Here is a 13,421-nt window from a genome sequence, read left to right on the forward strand (position 1 = left end):
GGCTGGCTGTGTGTCAGGCACCTACTCCTCGAACAAATGCCCTTAGATTCTCACTGTCTGTCCCCGCGATGCTGACAGCACTTGCCAAATACATACTGAATGTCAGGCTCTGTGCTCAGCACTGTGTACACATGGCTCACTTAATCCTCATAACTGTTCTGTGAGGTGGGAGCTGTCACTGTCCTCACTTTATAGATGAGGACACTGAGACCTAAAGTCAAGTCAGACAGCTAGGACATGGTACAACTAGGATTTGAACCCACCTGATGTGCCTGGAGATCTAGTGTTCTTAAGCACTACCTTTCTGGAGCTTGCTGGAGGCATGCTGGCCACCTCCTTCAGGACTGGTAGACCTGGTGTGTCTTTCATAGCCACGCTGGGCAGAGGGTGGAGGCCTGGAAACTGCAGGGGGTTCTTCCAGGGACCAGCCAGAACAGGGCTAAACTTGGGGTAAAAAGAGCTCTAGAGAATTAGAGAAGACTGAGGGCCCCTAAATTACCCTTAAGACATATTTGTGGAAGACAGATTTAAAAACAAAAAGCCAAAATTAGATTTAGGCTGGTGATAAGGTCATTAAATAATAGAATGTGAAATTTCAGTTGTGCAGACTTATTGGCCATCTTTATGATTTAAGAATATAAGTGCCTAGATCTAAGTGCAGTCCTAATCGCCTGGGAAGGAAGCAGATGGTCTCTAGAAACCCTTCTGACCATGGGTTAGTGGGATTTGGTCTTGATGACCATTTTTAAGGCCTCAGTCTGCAGAATGACCAGCAGCTTCCCCTCCCGCAATGAGAGCTGTAATTGCCTTTCCCAGTTGCCTGTGAATGCACCATGAACCTTACAGTCCTAGTATAGGAAATGACTCAGCAAAATCACCAGATTAAACCTCCTCAACTTTTCTTTCCCTTGGCTCCATTCCTGATAGCAGGAGTCGAGGCCCTTCAGAGCAGGCTTTCCCCAAAGCCACGTTGTCGGTCTGATCCTCGAATGGGGATCCGCCTGGATGATGACATGCCACAATCCAATCAGGGTCTGTTTCTCCTGACAGTCACATGTGCCAAAGATCATGGTAGAAACATGTGGATGGGGTTGGAAGACACTGCTACTACATCTCTTGGGACAGAGCCTGCCCCCTCCGAGTGGCTACCTACCATTCTCTCCGGGGAGGTGAAGGAGCTCTTGGGAACAAGTGTGTTATTATTAAGAGTTTCGTCAGGTTATGTCTTTTTTTTTTTTTTTTTTTTTAAGATGGAGTGTCGCTCTTTTGCCCAGGCTGGAGTGCAGTGGCGCTATCTTGGCTCACTGCAAGCTCCGCCTCCCGGGTTCACGCCATTCTCCTGCCTCAGCCTCCTGAGTAGCTGGGACTACAAGTGCCCGCCACTGTGCCCGGCTAATTTTTTGTATTTTTAGTAGAGACGGGGTTTCACCGTGTTAGCCAAGATGGTCTGGATCTCCTGACCTCATGATCCGCCCACCTCGGCCTCCCAAAGTGCTGGGATTACAGGCGTGAGCCACCGCGCCTGGCAGGTTATGTCTTTGCTGTAATTGGAGGCAGCTGGTCCACTTAGACCCTGATGCTTGGGCAAATACTTTATACACCTCTGCCCCCAGCAGCTGGTCTGGTGTGAGTCCAGGCCCAAGTCAACCCCCAATGCAAAAGCCAATCAGAAGTTGGACCTCTTTGGTGAGTTCAAACTGTGGTTTTAGGGGATACGGAGGCTGGCTTAGTTCAGTCCAGGATCTTAGAACAGCCCCAATGCTCCAGGCCCCTCAGCCAGCCCAGCTTTTAGAGGCTCCCAATTTGAGCTCTAAACTGAGCTCTGGAAAGGGGGTTTGGGGGATGGGGGATACATTTAAAGGAGTTTTTGCTCAGGACCTGGGTGCCACCTGCTGGCCATGTTTAGTTCTACTTACAGAGCCAAAGCTACGAGAGGAAAATTAAAAGGGCATCCTGCCCTCCCCAATGTGATGTTTGCTCAAAGGAAACAAGGAGGCTGTTACTTCATGCTGCCCTAGCAGGTGCAGCAGAGAATTCCTGCAGAGACCCCTGGGTGCCCTGGATGAGTCCTCCTGAGCCAAATGGACCCCCATTAGGGCAGAGTGTAGCACCAGTTGTGAGGACCTGAGCGAGTCCTGAGTAGGGACTGAAGCTGTGTTCCTGCTACTAGCTACCTGCTTCCCCAGAAGCCCCATAGTGGGTAACAGCATGATTCGTTGCTGGGTCCTGAAAGGAGCCATTTTTTCCAGCTTCCTTCACACAGGCACTGCTGCCACTCATGGGACCCTAGAGTCAGACCGAAGGTATGGAAAATGCCCTCCCTTCATCAGGCATTGACAAGACTGGGTCAATGCTGAGAAGACCTGGGCATTTTTCAAGCCGCTATGTGGCTCTTAGTGACTCTTGGGAGCCCTAAAAGCAAGGCCTTTAGTTGTGTTCTAAACTCCAGGGAAACTGGAGATTTTCCCTGTGTGCCAAGGACTGGCTAGTATTTTCCCCCCAGATAAGTGGCAGAACATCCCAATGTTCCAGCCTTTGCCATTGCAACAAAAGCCAGTAAATCACAGCTAAGTATGCATATCAAATGAAGGCTGTGGTTCTCATACAGGGCTGTGCACCAGAATCATCTGGGCTATTCTTTAAAATTATGTGTGTGTGTGTGTGTAAAATATGTGCATATAACATATAATGTATATATAATATATCATACACACACACACTTGGGCTGCACTGTAGCCTCTTGAAGTCTCTGCAGGAGAAGCCAGTGGACTCTCCTAGTAAAGAATCTCTGCAATGCATGGAAGAGGCCTGAACCATTAGCAGGTCCAATCCTGTGGAACCAGGAAAGCTGCCCCCAGGCTGGAAGACCCTTGAGGCTCAAATGATTTCAATCAAAAACTGGAGGATATATTTGGACTAAGACCATTGCCTTTCCTTTTCTTCAGTAGTCACCCCTTGAAATTCATACACTTTAAGCAGAACAAAGTCCCTAAAGTGGCTCGGAAACTCCCAGGGCCAACCTAAGACTACTCCTTGCCCCCAGAACCACCCAAGACCAGATCAGCCCCTCTGAGGCCTGTCAGCCACAGCTGGCCCAGAATCACTCTGCCCCAGGGGCCTCATAGGGAAATGAGTCTCTGAGCCTGTGGAACACTCCTGCAGAGTCATTCTGGACAGTTCCCGGAATAGCTGGTGCCCTCTGCACCAGCTCCTGGCCGTCCTCTGCACCCTCCCTGGGGACCTGGCAGAGTCTGACCACTGTGGCCCTGGGGTCATTCACATCCATCTCTCTACCTCTGCATGCCCTCTCCTTCCCTATTCTTGTGGCACTTGCTGTTTCTAGCACACTTTGGGGCATTTGGTTATACTGTTCTCATGTGTGCATTACTCTCCCCAATAAGATTATGAACTCCTTGAGGACAGGGACAAATCTTTTCAATTTCTTGCAGTCCACAACTAAATAATACTCATCAAAATCAGATGCCCTTTCCTTGACCCTACCCACTCTGCCCCTTCGGCAAGCTTAGCATCCATCCACCCATCCACTCCTCCTCCTGTTACTTTAGGTGCATCCTGGGAACTCAGAAACACTCCCCTGACTCCAGTCTGCAATTCCACTCCACCAATATGGTTAGGCAGTTATTATCCACCAAGAACTGGTGTAGAACCCGAAAGTGAATGGAACAGAGCCTGACCATTGAAGAGCTTACAGTCAGGTGGAAGGGGCAGGCACACACATTTTTATTTATTTATTTATTTATTTATTTATTTATTTTTTGGAGATGGATTCTGGCTCTGTCACCCAGGCTGGAGTACAGTGGCATGATCTTGGCTCACTGCAACACTCCACCTCTGGGTTCAAGCAATTCTCCTGCCTCAGCCTCCCTAGTAGCTAGGATTACAGGCCTGGCTAATTTTAGTAGAGACAGGGTTTTGCCATGTTGGCCAGGCTGGTCTTGAACTCCTGGCTTAGGTGATCGGCACCCCCCTCAGCCTCCCAAAGTGCTGGCATTACAGGCATGAGCCACCGCACCCGCTCTCACACACATGATTTCAACAGACCATGTGGGATGCCATGAAGAGCCGTGCCCAGGGTGCTGTAGGATCATGGGCACATGTCTCCCACAGAGGGGGTCAGAAAAAGTCCCCTGGAGCTAAAGCAGAGTCCTGAGGCTGAGTGCTGGGGGAGGGAGGATGGCGGGGGGATGGTGGGGGTATGGCAGGGGGATGGCAGGGGGACCCAGGCCAGAAGGTGATGAGACATGATTCAGAAAGAGGAGAGGACATGAGGCATCACTCAATGGTTCAACGTTACTGAACGTCTTGCCTGTGACAGGCCTGGATACCCCACTCTTGGCTTCAAGACATGGGGCGCAGGCATTTAAACAAGTCCAATGGTGAGCGCAAGGGCCAAGATGCAGGGCAGTGGGCGCAGAGACGTTGTGGAGGAGGAAACTCAAGTGCAGTCAACATTACTCTCGGAAAGCTCTGAAATTGCCAGGTCTTGAGTCTTTAGGCGCTCCCAAGACAATAATTCATTTCTGTTTCTCTTGGCTTTTTGGCCCCGCCTGGCCTCCCTTTGCCTGGGCAATGAAGGACAAGGTTTATTTTTCAAAGGAGGAAGAACTAGGAATAAAGAAGAGGGTTTTCTCTCATGATTTTTCTTCAAAGCATTCATTTAAGTTAAACATGCTCTGTCCTATGTACTTGGGGTCAGGGGTGGGAACGTAAGTGGCACACAGCTCTGCAGATGCCTTGCTGAGCCTCCCTGTCTAAAGCAGTACTACTCAAACAGGACTGTGCCTGCAGATCCTCCGGGCATCTTGGTCAAAGGCAGTTTCTCATTTAGTTAGGTCTGGGGGAGGACAAGAGAATTGGAATTTCTAACCAGCTGATCCCCATATAGTCCCACTGCGCAGGTCTGGGGCCACAATTGAGAACCATGGAACAGAGAATGAATGAACTTTGGGGTGGGGACGGCATTCCAGACAGAGGGTGAGTAGGAAGCTGCCTATAGCTCCTAACTGGGGAATCAAAGTAGGAGATAAGGCTGAAGAGGTGGGGTCCCCTTATGAGTTTGATAAGTGGTCAGGAGGAGTCACATGATAACAGCAGATGCCTGCGACAGGCAGGGAAATATTCTTTCTGTAAGAATATAAGGTGTATAAGATGTATCTTATTTCACAGAGACACTTTACATATTAAACCTGAAGAAATATTCTTCACTCACTCCAGAAACACATGTCCTCACAATTCTCGGAAAACACAGTCCTTTTGACCTATCTTGTTTTTCCATTTCTGATAAAGATGTGGTTACAAGAAATATGTCCTTTTCTTAACAGCGCAAGTCAGTTAGCAGCAGCAGCTGACCCTTGGCCTCTGGGGTGGGAAGGAGGCTCACTGCTGGCTCCACTCCAACTGCTGGTTTCAGTGCGGGAGCATAGGGTCAGAGTGGCCAAAAGAAGCCAGAAATCCCAAGTTGTTAAACATCTGAACTTTAAAATATTGGGCACTAATTCAAAACTGTTTCCAACACTATGAGTGCTGAACAGTTTAAGTCTGCAAGGCAAATTCGGCCAAGGAGTGTCTCTTTTATGACTGCTGGCTGAAAGGACTTGAAGTGGGGGAGGGCGGTGGCCAGACCTGCTTTTAGGTAGATTCTGACTACAGCAATGTCAAGGATGGATTAAGAGGAGGGAGAGACTGGAGGCTGGAAGGCCTTTTAGGAGGCTCCTGCTAGCCTGGGCTAGAGAGAAAATACAGTCAGCCCTTCACATCCGTGGGATCCACATCTGTGGATTCAATCAAATACCGATCAAAAATATTCAGGAAAAAAAAAGGATTGTTGCATTGCTTACAGACTTTTTTTTCATGTCATGATTTCCTAAACAATACAGTATAACAACTATTTACATCGAAGTGACATGGTAGTAGGTATTATAAGTAATCTAGAGATGATTTAAATCATACAGGAGGATGTGTGTAGGTTAACTGTAAATACTACATCATTTTATATAAGGGACTTGACTGTGCATTGACTTTGGTATGGGGAGATGTTCTGGAACAAATTCCCTCATGAATACCAAGGGACAACGGTATGCATAAATCCTGAGGGTAAGCAGAAAAGGGCGAATTGAGGAAGTCGGGTTCCAGGACTTGAGGAATGACTTGATAGGTGCATGAGGGAGAGTAAGCTGTCTGGGATGACCCCGCAGGTTTCTAAGGTGGTGATTAATTGCTGGTGATGACATTCACTGGGATAATGAATACAGGAGCCAGAAGCATATTCTAAGGAAAGGTTGTGGACAAGCAGAATTTAGATGCCTCTGCATCAGCCACAGGAATGTGGAGTCTGAAGTCGGAGCAGAGGCAAAGGTTAGCTGGCTTTCTAAAACACAAATCTGGTCAGGTTACTGTCGCTTAAAACCCTCTAATGGCTTCCTGTCATCCAAATAGAAAGTCCAGATTCCTCCTTCTGGTAAACAAGGGCCTGGCAACCTGTCCCTGCCAACCTCATTGTGCCACACCCCAACAGAAAAATCTGCTCCCCGGGCCTGCTCCACGACTCAGAGTGCCCGGAATAAGCTCTGCCTTTGTTCTTGCTAGTCCCTGTGGCTGAAATGCCTTCCACCCATCCCTTTTTATGTCTGGAAAATTCCTATTCTTCTCAGGCTCCAACATCTCTGCTCTGAAGCCTTCGCTGACCCTGCCCAGCAGATGCGCTCACACCCTTCTTTGTGCTGTCCCTGAACATTTATGTGCCTGTTTCACTGCCTCATCACTCCCTACTGAGGGGATCTGCCTGTCTGTAAATGCCTCAAGGCAGAGGCCATTTCTTAATTAACTTGGAATTACTGGCTCCTGGTGCACGTCTAGCATATAGTAGATGCTCATGAAATGTCTAAGGAATAAAGACCCTCCCTCTGGGGATAAACTGCGAGGCCAATCTGGAGGGAATGTTTCTTACTTCCCAGTATCATACAGCCCCTCTCTCTTGACAGCTAAGGAGCTACATGAGGCCCCAGTGCTGACCTCACCTTTCTTCTTGCTTTCCAGCTGGGGTATGGCCGTCAATGTGTACTCCACATCTGTGACCAGTGAAAATCTGAGTCGCCATGATATGCTTGCATGGGTCAACGACTCCCTGCACCTCAACTATACCAAGATAGAACAGCTTTGTTCAGGTAGGAGGCTGGGAATATGGGAAGTGGCCCTGCTGGAAGGAAAGGAAAGAAAGGTCGGAAGGCAGAGCAGCCACAACAGGGAATATACAGTCATGCATGGCTGAATGACTGATGTGGCCAGAGAAATGCATCCTTAGGCGATGTTGTTGTTGTGTGAACATCACAGAGTGTATTTACACAAACCTGGATGGTGTAGCCTACTACACACCTCGGCTATATGGTATAGCCTACTACTCCTAGGCTAAAAACATGGACAGCATGTTTCTGTACTAAATACTGCAGACAGTTTTAACACATGGTAAGTATTTGCACATCTAAACATACCTAAACATAGAAAAGGTGATAATAAAATAAAAACATGGTATTATAATCCTGTAGGACCACCATCATATATGTGGTTCATCGTTGACCAAACCATCGTTATGCAGCCCATAGCTGTAGCTTGTGATTAGATTAAGGAGGAGAGCTGGAGGCCCTGAACTAGTCAGACTGTCTGGAGCTGAAGTCAAGAAATGGAAGCAGGGAAAGAGAAGAGCAGGAGAGGCACCATGAAGGACTGCAGGGAAAGGAGGAGCGGGGAGCTGAGAGCCAGGATGGCAGCAGAGCCACAGGTCTGACCACACCTCTCTGGGTCCAGCTCTCAGCTCTTCTGGTGGTGCAACCTTGGGCAAGTCACTATACTGCCCTAGGCCTCAGTTTTCTCATCCATAAGATGGAGATAGTATCACCAACTAACTAGAGTTCCTGTTGGGATTGCCCTACCTACATGCAGTGTTTGGTGTGGTGCTGGTTCATAATACGCATCAATAAATAGTCATTGCTTTTATTCTTGGAAAGCTGGGGGGATTCTGGCCATGTCTATCCTGAAAGTAGGACTGGTCCCTGGCCCAGAACAAGGAGAGAGAAGAGGAGACGGGGTTTGGGGAAGTGAGAGAGAGCAGCTCACAGAAGGAGAGCAGCAAGACCCCTCAGCCAGCCATCCTTCTCCACAGGGGCAGCCTACTGCCAGTTCATGGACATGCTCTTCCCCGGCTGTGTGCACTTGAGGAAAGTGAAGTTCCAGGCCAAACTAGAGCACGAATACATCCACAACTTCAAGGTGCTGCAAGCAGCTTTCAAGAAGATGGGTGTTGACAAAGTAGGTGCCTGCGCTCTGGGGGGCCCTGAGGAGCAGTGTGACCCTGGGGAAGAAGAGGACCCACCAGCCCAGGCAACTGGGGCTGCTGGGGTCATTCCGGTGCTCGTGCCTCCCTCCACCTCCCGACTCTCCAGAGGGAATTTTCCCCCTGCTCAAGGCACAATGGAAAAGCCCACAACACTTGCCATGCCATCATGACAACATTCCTTTCCCTTCCTCCTCTCTGGACCCTGCCCACCCCAACACTGAGCTCTGTGCACCGCTCCTGTGAAGTTCCACCTCTCTCTGTCTCTGTAGGGCCCAAGAAAGTGTCTCTGCTCACTCTACTGCCTCGGTGGCTGCAGACCCCCAGCCCACACGCAGGCAGTAGAGCCAAGGGACGCCTCCCCACACAGTTCTTCCACACGGTGCCTGTAGAGAAGGGATGCCTCTGGATCTGACACTAGGGCCTACCAGCCTACCTGTCTGCTCTGGTGCCGTGGGAGGGGGGCAAGTGGAGAAGGTGGAGGACGCTGCAGCCCAGGGGCTGGCTTTCCTGAGAGCAGTGGCCCTCAGCAGAGGAAGGCGGTCCTACAGCAGCAGGTGGCTAAAGTACTCTGCTTATGTGGTCTATTTCAGATCATTCCTGTAGAGAAATTAGTGAAAGGAAAATTCCAAGATAATTTTGAGTTTATTCAGTGGTTTAAGAAATTCTTTGACGCAAACTATGATGGAAAGGATTACAACCCTCTGCTGGCGCGGCAGGGCCAGGACGTAGCGCCACCTCCTAACCCAGGTGATCAGATCTTCAACAAATCCAAGAAACTCATTGGCACAGCAGGTAACGTGCCCGAGCCGGGGGAGGGAGCGTGGGGGGCCGGGCCGGCAGGCCTCTATAGCCAGGAGTGCCCCCTGGGCCACGGCCCGGCCCTGCCAGCCTGGAGGAGACTTGTTATCACGGAGTTCGGATGACGCCGCCTGCTGGCCAGTTAGACCGGGGGAGTGAAAGTAGTGGGTGAGAGAGCTCCACAAATTGGTCTAAGAGGAGAGCCACCAGCACCAGCCATGGTGGCAACTGGGGTAGGAGGCCCAAGGCACTTTGTTTCATAGCACGAGCTAACTTGTTTGCCTCAAGATGATGGGGCAGCAAGGTGGCTTGGTTTCTCCATCCAGGTGCATCCAGACCAAGAGCCTGGTGCCAGCACCACAGCCCCTTCTTGCCCCCTGCCCCCTGGATGGCCAGGGGCAGGAGTTGCCAAGCTGGATCACACCTTTCCCCACTCTAAAGGCCCAATAGTCCTAAGTCCTCAAAAGATGAGTCTCTAGAAACGAGGCTTTGTCTGGGTCCTGGAGGGGAAGGGAGAAAAGCAATAGGGCCTTTGGGAAGCAGCAGCGTTGGGAGGGGAAGGGAGAGGAGCAGCCCCAGCCCGCGTCGGACCCCGTCATAGCAGAGCCACCTCCTCTGTCTGCACTGCTGTTCTGCCTGGGCCTGCCCCACTCGCCCGCCTGCTTGCTTTGCACTAGAAGCAGCCCGCTCTGTCTAGGGAGGTGCAGTCGCTAGTGAGCAAGTCGCCACGGCATGCTGGCTGCGCTGGGGAGGAGCTGGGGTCCCTGATTTGGCCACCACTGTGCAGATACCTGGTCCAGCCCAGCAGAGGGCAAAAGAGCCCATCCTGACACAGGGCCCCTGGAGGGGCAGCCACCCAGGGACAATGGCTTTGGGCTGGGGCTTCTGTTAGGAAAGACCCTGTGCCAGCTGCCTTTCCTCTAGCTATGAGTACGAGAGGGTCCCGCACCCTTCCAACTCTACTTCCCCAAATTTGCGTCCTAATTTCTCTCCTCTATCCCTCAGGCCAGCTCTCTCCCTGCCCCAACACCTCACACCTTGTTTAGTTCCCTATAGTTTCTGCTCTCCCGGGCTCGCCAAAGGGCTGCCCAGCTGCTGGAGTGTCCATGTGGCCAAGACTCGGGGCCTAGCTGTAGATGCCCTTCCTGGGGTGGGGGCAGGGGGGTGAGAGTGCCTGCCTGTCGCATGGGCCTGCCCCCGCAGTCCTCACACCAGGCTGTCTCCTGCCACGTGCGCTGTGGGCTCACGTGGACTTACCTGACTCTTTTCCTCTGGGCAGTTCCACAGAGGACGTCCCCCACAGGCCCAAAAAACATGCAGACCTCTGGCCGGCTGAGCAATGTGGCCCCCCCCTGCATTCTCCGGAAGAATCCTCCATCAGCCCGAAATGGCGGCCATGAGACTGATGCCCAAATTCTTGAACTCAACCAACAGGTGAGTGGGATGGGTAAGGGTAGCTGAGATAGCCCTGTCACCAAAGCCAGGCCCTTGGGGTGTCTGCAGGGACGAGAGGAGGGCAGGCAGGGGAACCTGAGGTGGGGACCTCTGGCTTGAACATCACTTTGTCCCCAAGCAGCTGGTGGACTTGAAGCTGACAGTGGATGGGCTGGAGAAGGAACGTGACTTCTACTTCAGCAAACTTCGTGACATCGAGCTCATCTGCCAGGAGCATGAAAGTGAAAACAGCCCTGTTATCTCAGGCATCATTGGCATCCTCTATGCCACAGAGGTGAGCACTCCCAGGCCCATTGGGCCCTCCCCAGTCTGGCCTGGCCCTAAGACCAGAAGCGCGATAGGGCCAGAAGGGACCGTGGAGAACATTTACTGATGAGAGAGAGGTGAAGTCACTAGCCCAGGGTCACCCATTAGCAGGGCTCCTGGACTCCTGACCCCTTGCTCTTCAGCTACTTACAGAACCTGAGAAGCCCTGCCTGGCCTGCCTGGCCCACCACTTTCCTCTCTCTCCCACCCTCCAGGAAGGATTCGCACCCCCTGAGGACGATGAGATTGAAGAGCATCAACAAGAAGACCAGGACGAGTACTGAGGGCGGCCGCAGCCCTGGCTGACTGCACAGCTTCCCCGTGCCTCCCTCCCTGCTCCACTCCCACATTATAGTCCTTTCCTAACACGGTCGGCCGGGTGCTTTGTGTCAGTGCTGCAGCACTGGGGAGCCAGGCGAGGGGGGCTTGGGGGCATGGGGCCGGAAAGCAGGCAGAAGCCCGTCCTGGGTGGTGCTGGCCCAGTTGGTGGGACCCCTGTCCACACCCACCCTATTTATTTCCGTTGTCTCTCTGCTGTGTCGCCCAACACTTCCCAGGGTGCTGCTGCCACCCGCCCCAGCCAGCCACCTGCTCCTGACAGCCAGCAGCTGTGTATTTGACAAAGTCATTGGTATATTTTTACTTACTGGATTCTCCTTGCACTTTACCTGTTCTTTTCCAGAGCTGACAGCACGGGCTCCGGCGCAGTGTGCCTGGCTTGGCTTCCCTTCCCCATGGCTGGGGGCTGGGGTAGGACTCACCCATTCTAATTTATTTTGTCTTTTGGCTTCTCAGTAGCTAAGGGGAAGGCTGATGTCAGGAGAGGGAGAGGGGGCTGAGGAGGTAGTGCTGTAGGCCCAGGGGGTCAGGGAAAGGGAGGGGGGCATGTGAGGGATGGAAATGACCTCCTGGCACCAGGCTCACCCACCCAAGGCCCCCTGCCCCAGCACTGAATCCCAGCGCTGCCCTGAGGCCCCCAGCCACTCCCTCCAGCAGCCTGGTTCACCACACAAACTCTGCCTGGACCCCATTGTCTGTCTGCTTCCCACCTGCCCTCCCCACCCCCTGCCCCTCGGGCACCAGCCTGCATATGTGTTCACTTTTATTTAAATAAACTTGTGTGGTAAAAGTACATGCCATGTGTCCCTCAACTGAGCCACAGTCCAGGTCCAGTGCTTTCCACCTCCCATGCACCGCTCTCTCCGGAGGTGATAGCGGCAGCACAGCCTCACTGTCACCCTCCCACAGGCCTGGAAACCACCACCAGCTCTGGGCTCAGAGCCCAGCTCCAGCCTAGCCCCAATGCCCAACACTGGTGGTAGGGCTCTGAGGGCAGGTAGGGGCCCCAACCCCCCGTCACTGAGGAGGAACTAGGTCTGGGCCCGTGGCCATGACAAGGGACAGCCGGTGAAGCGGCTGTGGGGCACCGTGGTGGCCTGGCCAAGAGGTGCTTCGTTTCAGTCTCCTTTGGGTCAGGGGGACTGCATGTCATCCCCCACCTGTTGTCAAAGCTCATACAACTCATCATAGTGATTCAGCTGGGGACAAGGGCTCACGTGACAGAGAGAGCTGGGATGGCCACAAAGAGCAAGGAGTTCTGAGTGCTGAAGCCCGGGACAGCAACATCCAAGGGGTTCCTTCTGTAGAGCAGGCTCCAGTGGGAACAGGGAATCAGGAACCCTTCCACATCACCTGCACAGCCCCAGTCCTGGCATGTGCCTAACAAAAGGCCATACTAACCGATGTCCCAGAAGCCCAGCAGAGACCAAGAGTGCAGAAATGAATGTGAGAGCCTTGGGGTCATCTAGACCAGCCCCCGGTTTACTGATGAGGGGTCAGAGGCCCACGTGCATGACTCAATCACCGTGGCTGAAACCTGGACTAGAACTCACACTTCTTGACTTGAGGTTCAGGGCTCATCCCCAAAGACCACTGAGGTTCCCCCAGCTGCAGGACAGCGCTGGTTTCCTCACCACCCTGAGTATGGTCAACATGCAGATGGGGCCGTGTCTCTTCTGTGGCCCCACCCCATGGCCCCTTTTGAGACCACCACCATTTCTCTCATGACACCAGGTTCAAGCCTTAAATAAGCAATTCATATCTGTTTATTCCTCAATCACCTCCACCACCCCTTTTGACTCCCCCCCCCCATACATAGACACTTCTGCCTTATTCTATCTCTGTTCTCCTCCAGCAAGTTCCTTGCCTGCTTTTACTTATCGTGATGATTTTAATTCCCTTGCCTAATTTTTAAAGGCTTTTCCCCATGATTACAGGTAGATACCATGAAAGGATAGGCCAGGCCGAGACCTCACCCTGAAGGTAAAGTGGGTGTGGGAGGCAGAACAGTGCCTCCCCCAATGTCCACATCACAATCCCCAGAAGCTGTGAATATGTGGGTTACATGGCAAAAGGGAATTAAGCTGCCTGTGGGCCAGGTGCGGTGGCTCACGCCTGTAATCCCAGCACTTTTGGAGGCCAAAGCGGGAGGATCACTTGAGCCCAGGAGTTC

General features: G+C 52.1%; 1 protein-coding gene across 4 annotated transcripts in view, besides 1 other annotated feature; it reads left to right on the forward strand.

Moving 5' to 3' along the window:
• MAPRE3 (microtubule associated protein RP/EB family member 3) overlaps positions 1-12,064 on the forward strand; it is a 56,583-nt gene extending 44,519 nt beyond the window's left edge. For 3 of the 4 annotated variants that reach the window (NM_012326.4, NM_001303050.2, XM_047443728.1), the window contains exons 2-7: positions 7,057-7,184; positions 8,177-8,322; positions 8,941-9,142; positions 10,428-10,582; positions 10,725-10,877; positions 11,125-12,064. In NM_012326.4, coding sequence (NP_036458.2) covers positions 7,064-7,184; positions 8,177-8,322; positions 8,941-9,142; positions 10,428-10,582; positions 10,725-10,877; positions 11,125-11,193 — 846 coding nt within the window. In that variant the 5' untranslated portion in view covers positions 7,057-7,063 and the 3' untranslated portion in view covers positions 11,194-12,064. The remainder of the gene's footprint in view (positions 1-7,056; positions 7,185-8,176; positions 8,323-8,940; positions 9,143-10,427; positions 10,583-10,724; positions 10,878-11,124) is intronic. The other variant, NM_001410716.1, reaches the window with a different exon arrangement.
• Positions 9,038-9,828: an enhancer, noted in NCBI's record as "H3K4me1 hESC enhancer chr2:27247061-27247851 (GRCh37/hg19 assembly coordinates)". NCBI's record gives its function as "activates a minimal SCP1, AML or CMV promoter by ChIP-STARR-seq in primed H9 embryonic stem cells {active_cell/tissue: H9 hESC(primed)}" and the evidence as "EXISTENCE:reporter gene assay evidence [ECO:0000049][PMID:30033119]".
• Positions 12,065-13,421: the final 1,357 nt, after the last annotated feature.

This window comes from Homo sapiens, chromosome 2 (assembly GCF_000001405.40).
Source record: "Homo sapiens chromosome 2, GRCh38.p14 Primary Assembly".
Classification (NCBI taxonomy): Eukaryota; Metazoa; Chordata; class Mammalia; order Primates; family Hominidae; genus Homo; species Homo sapiens.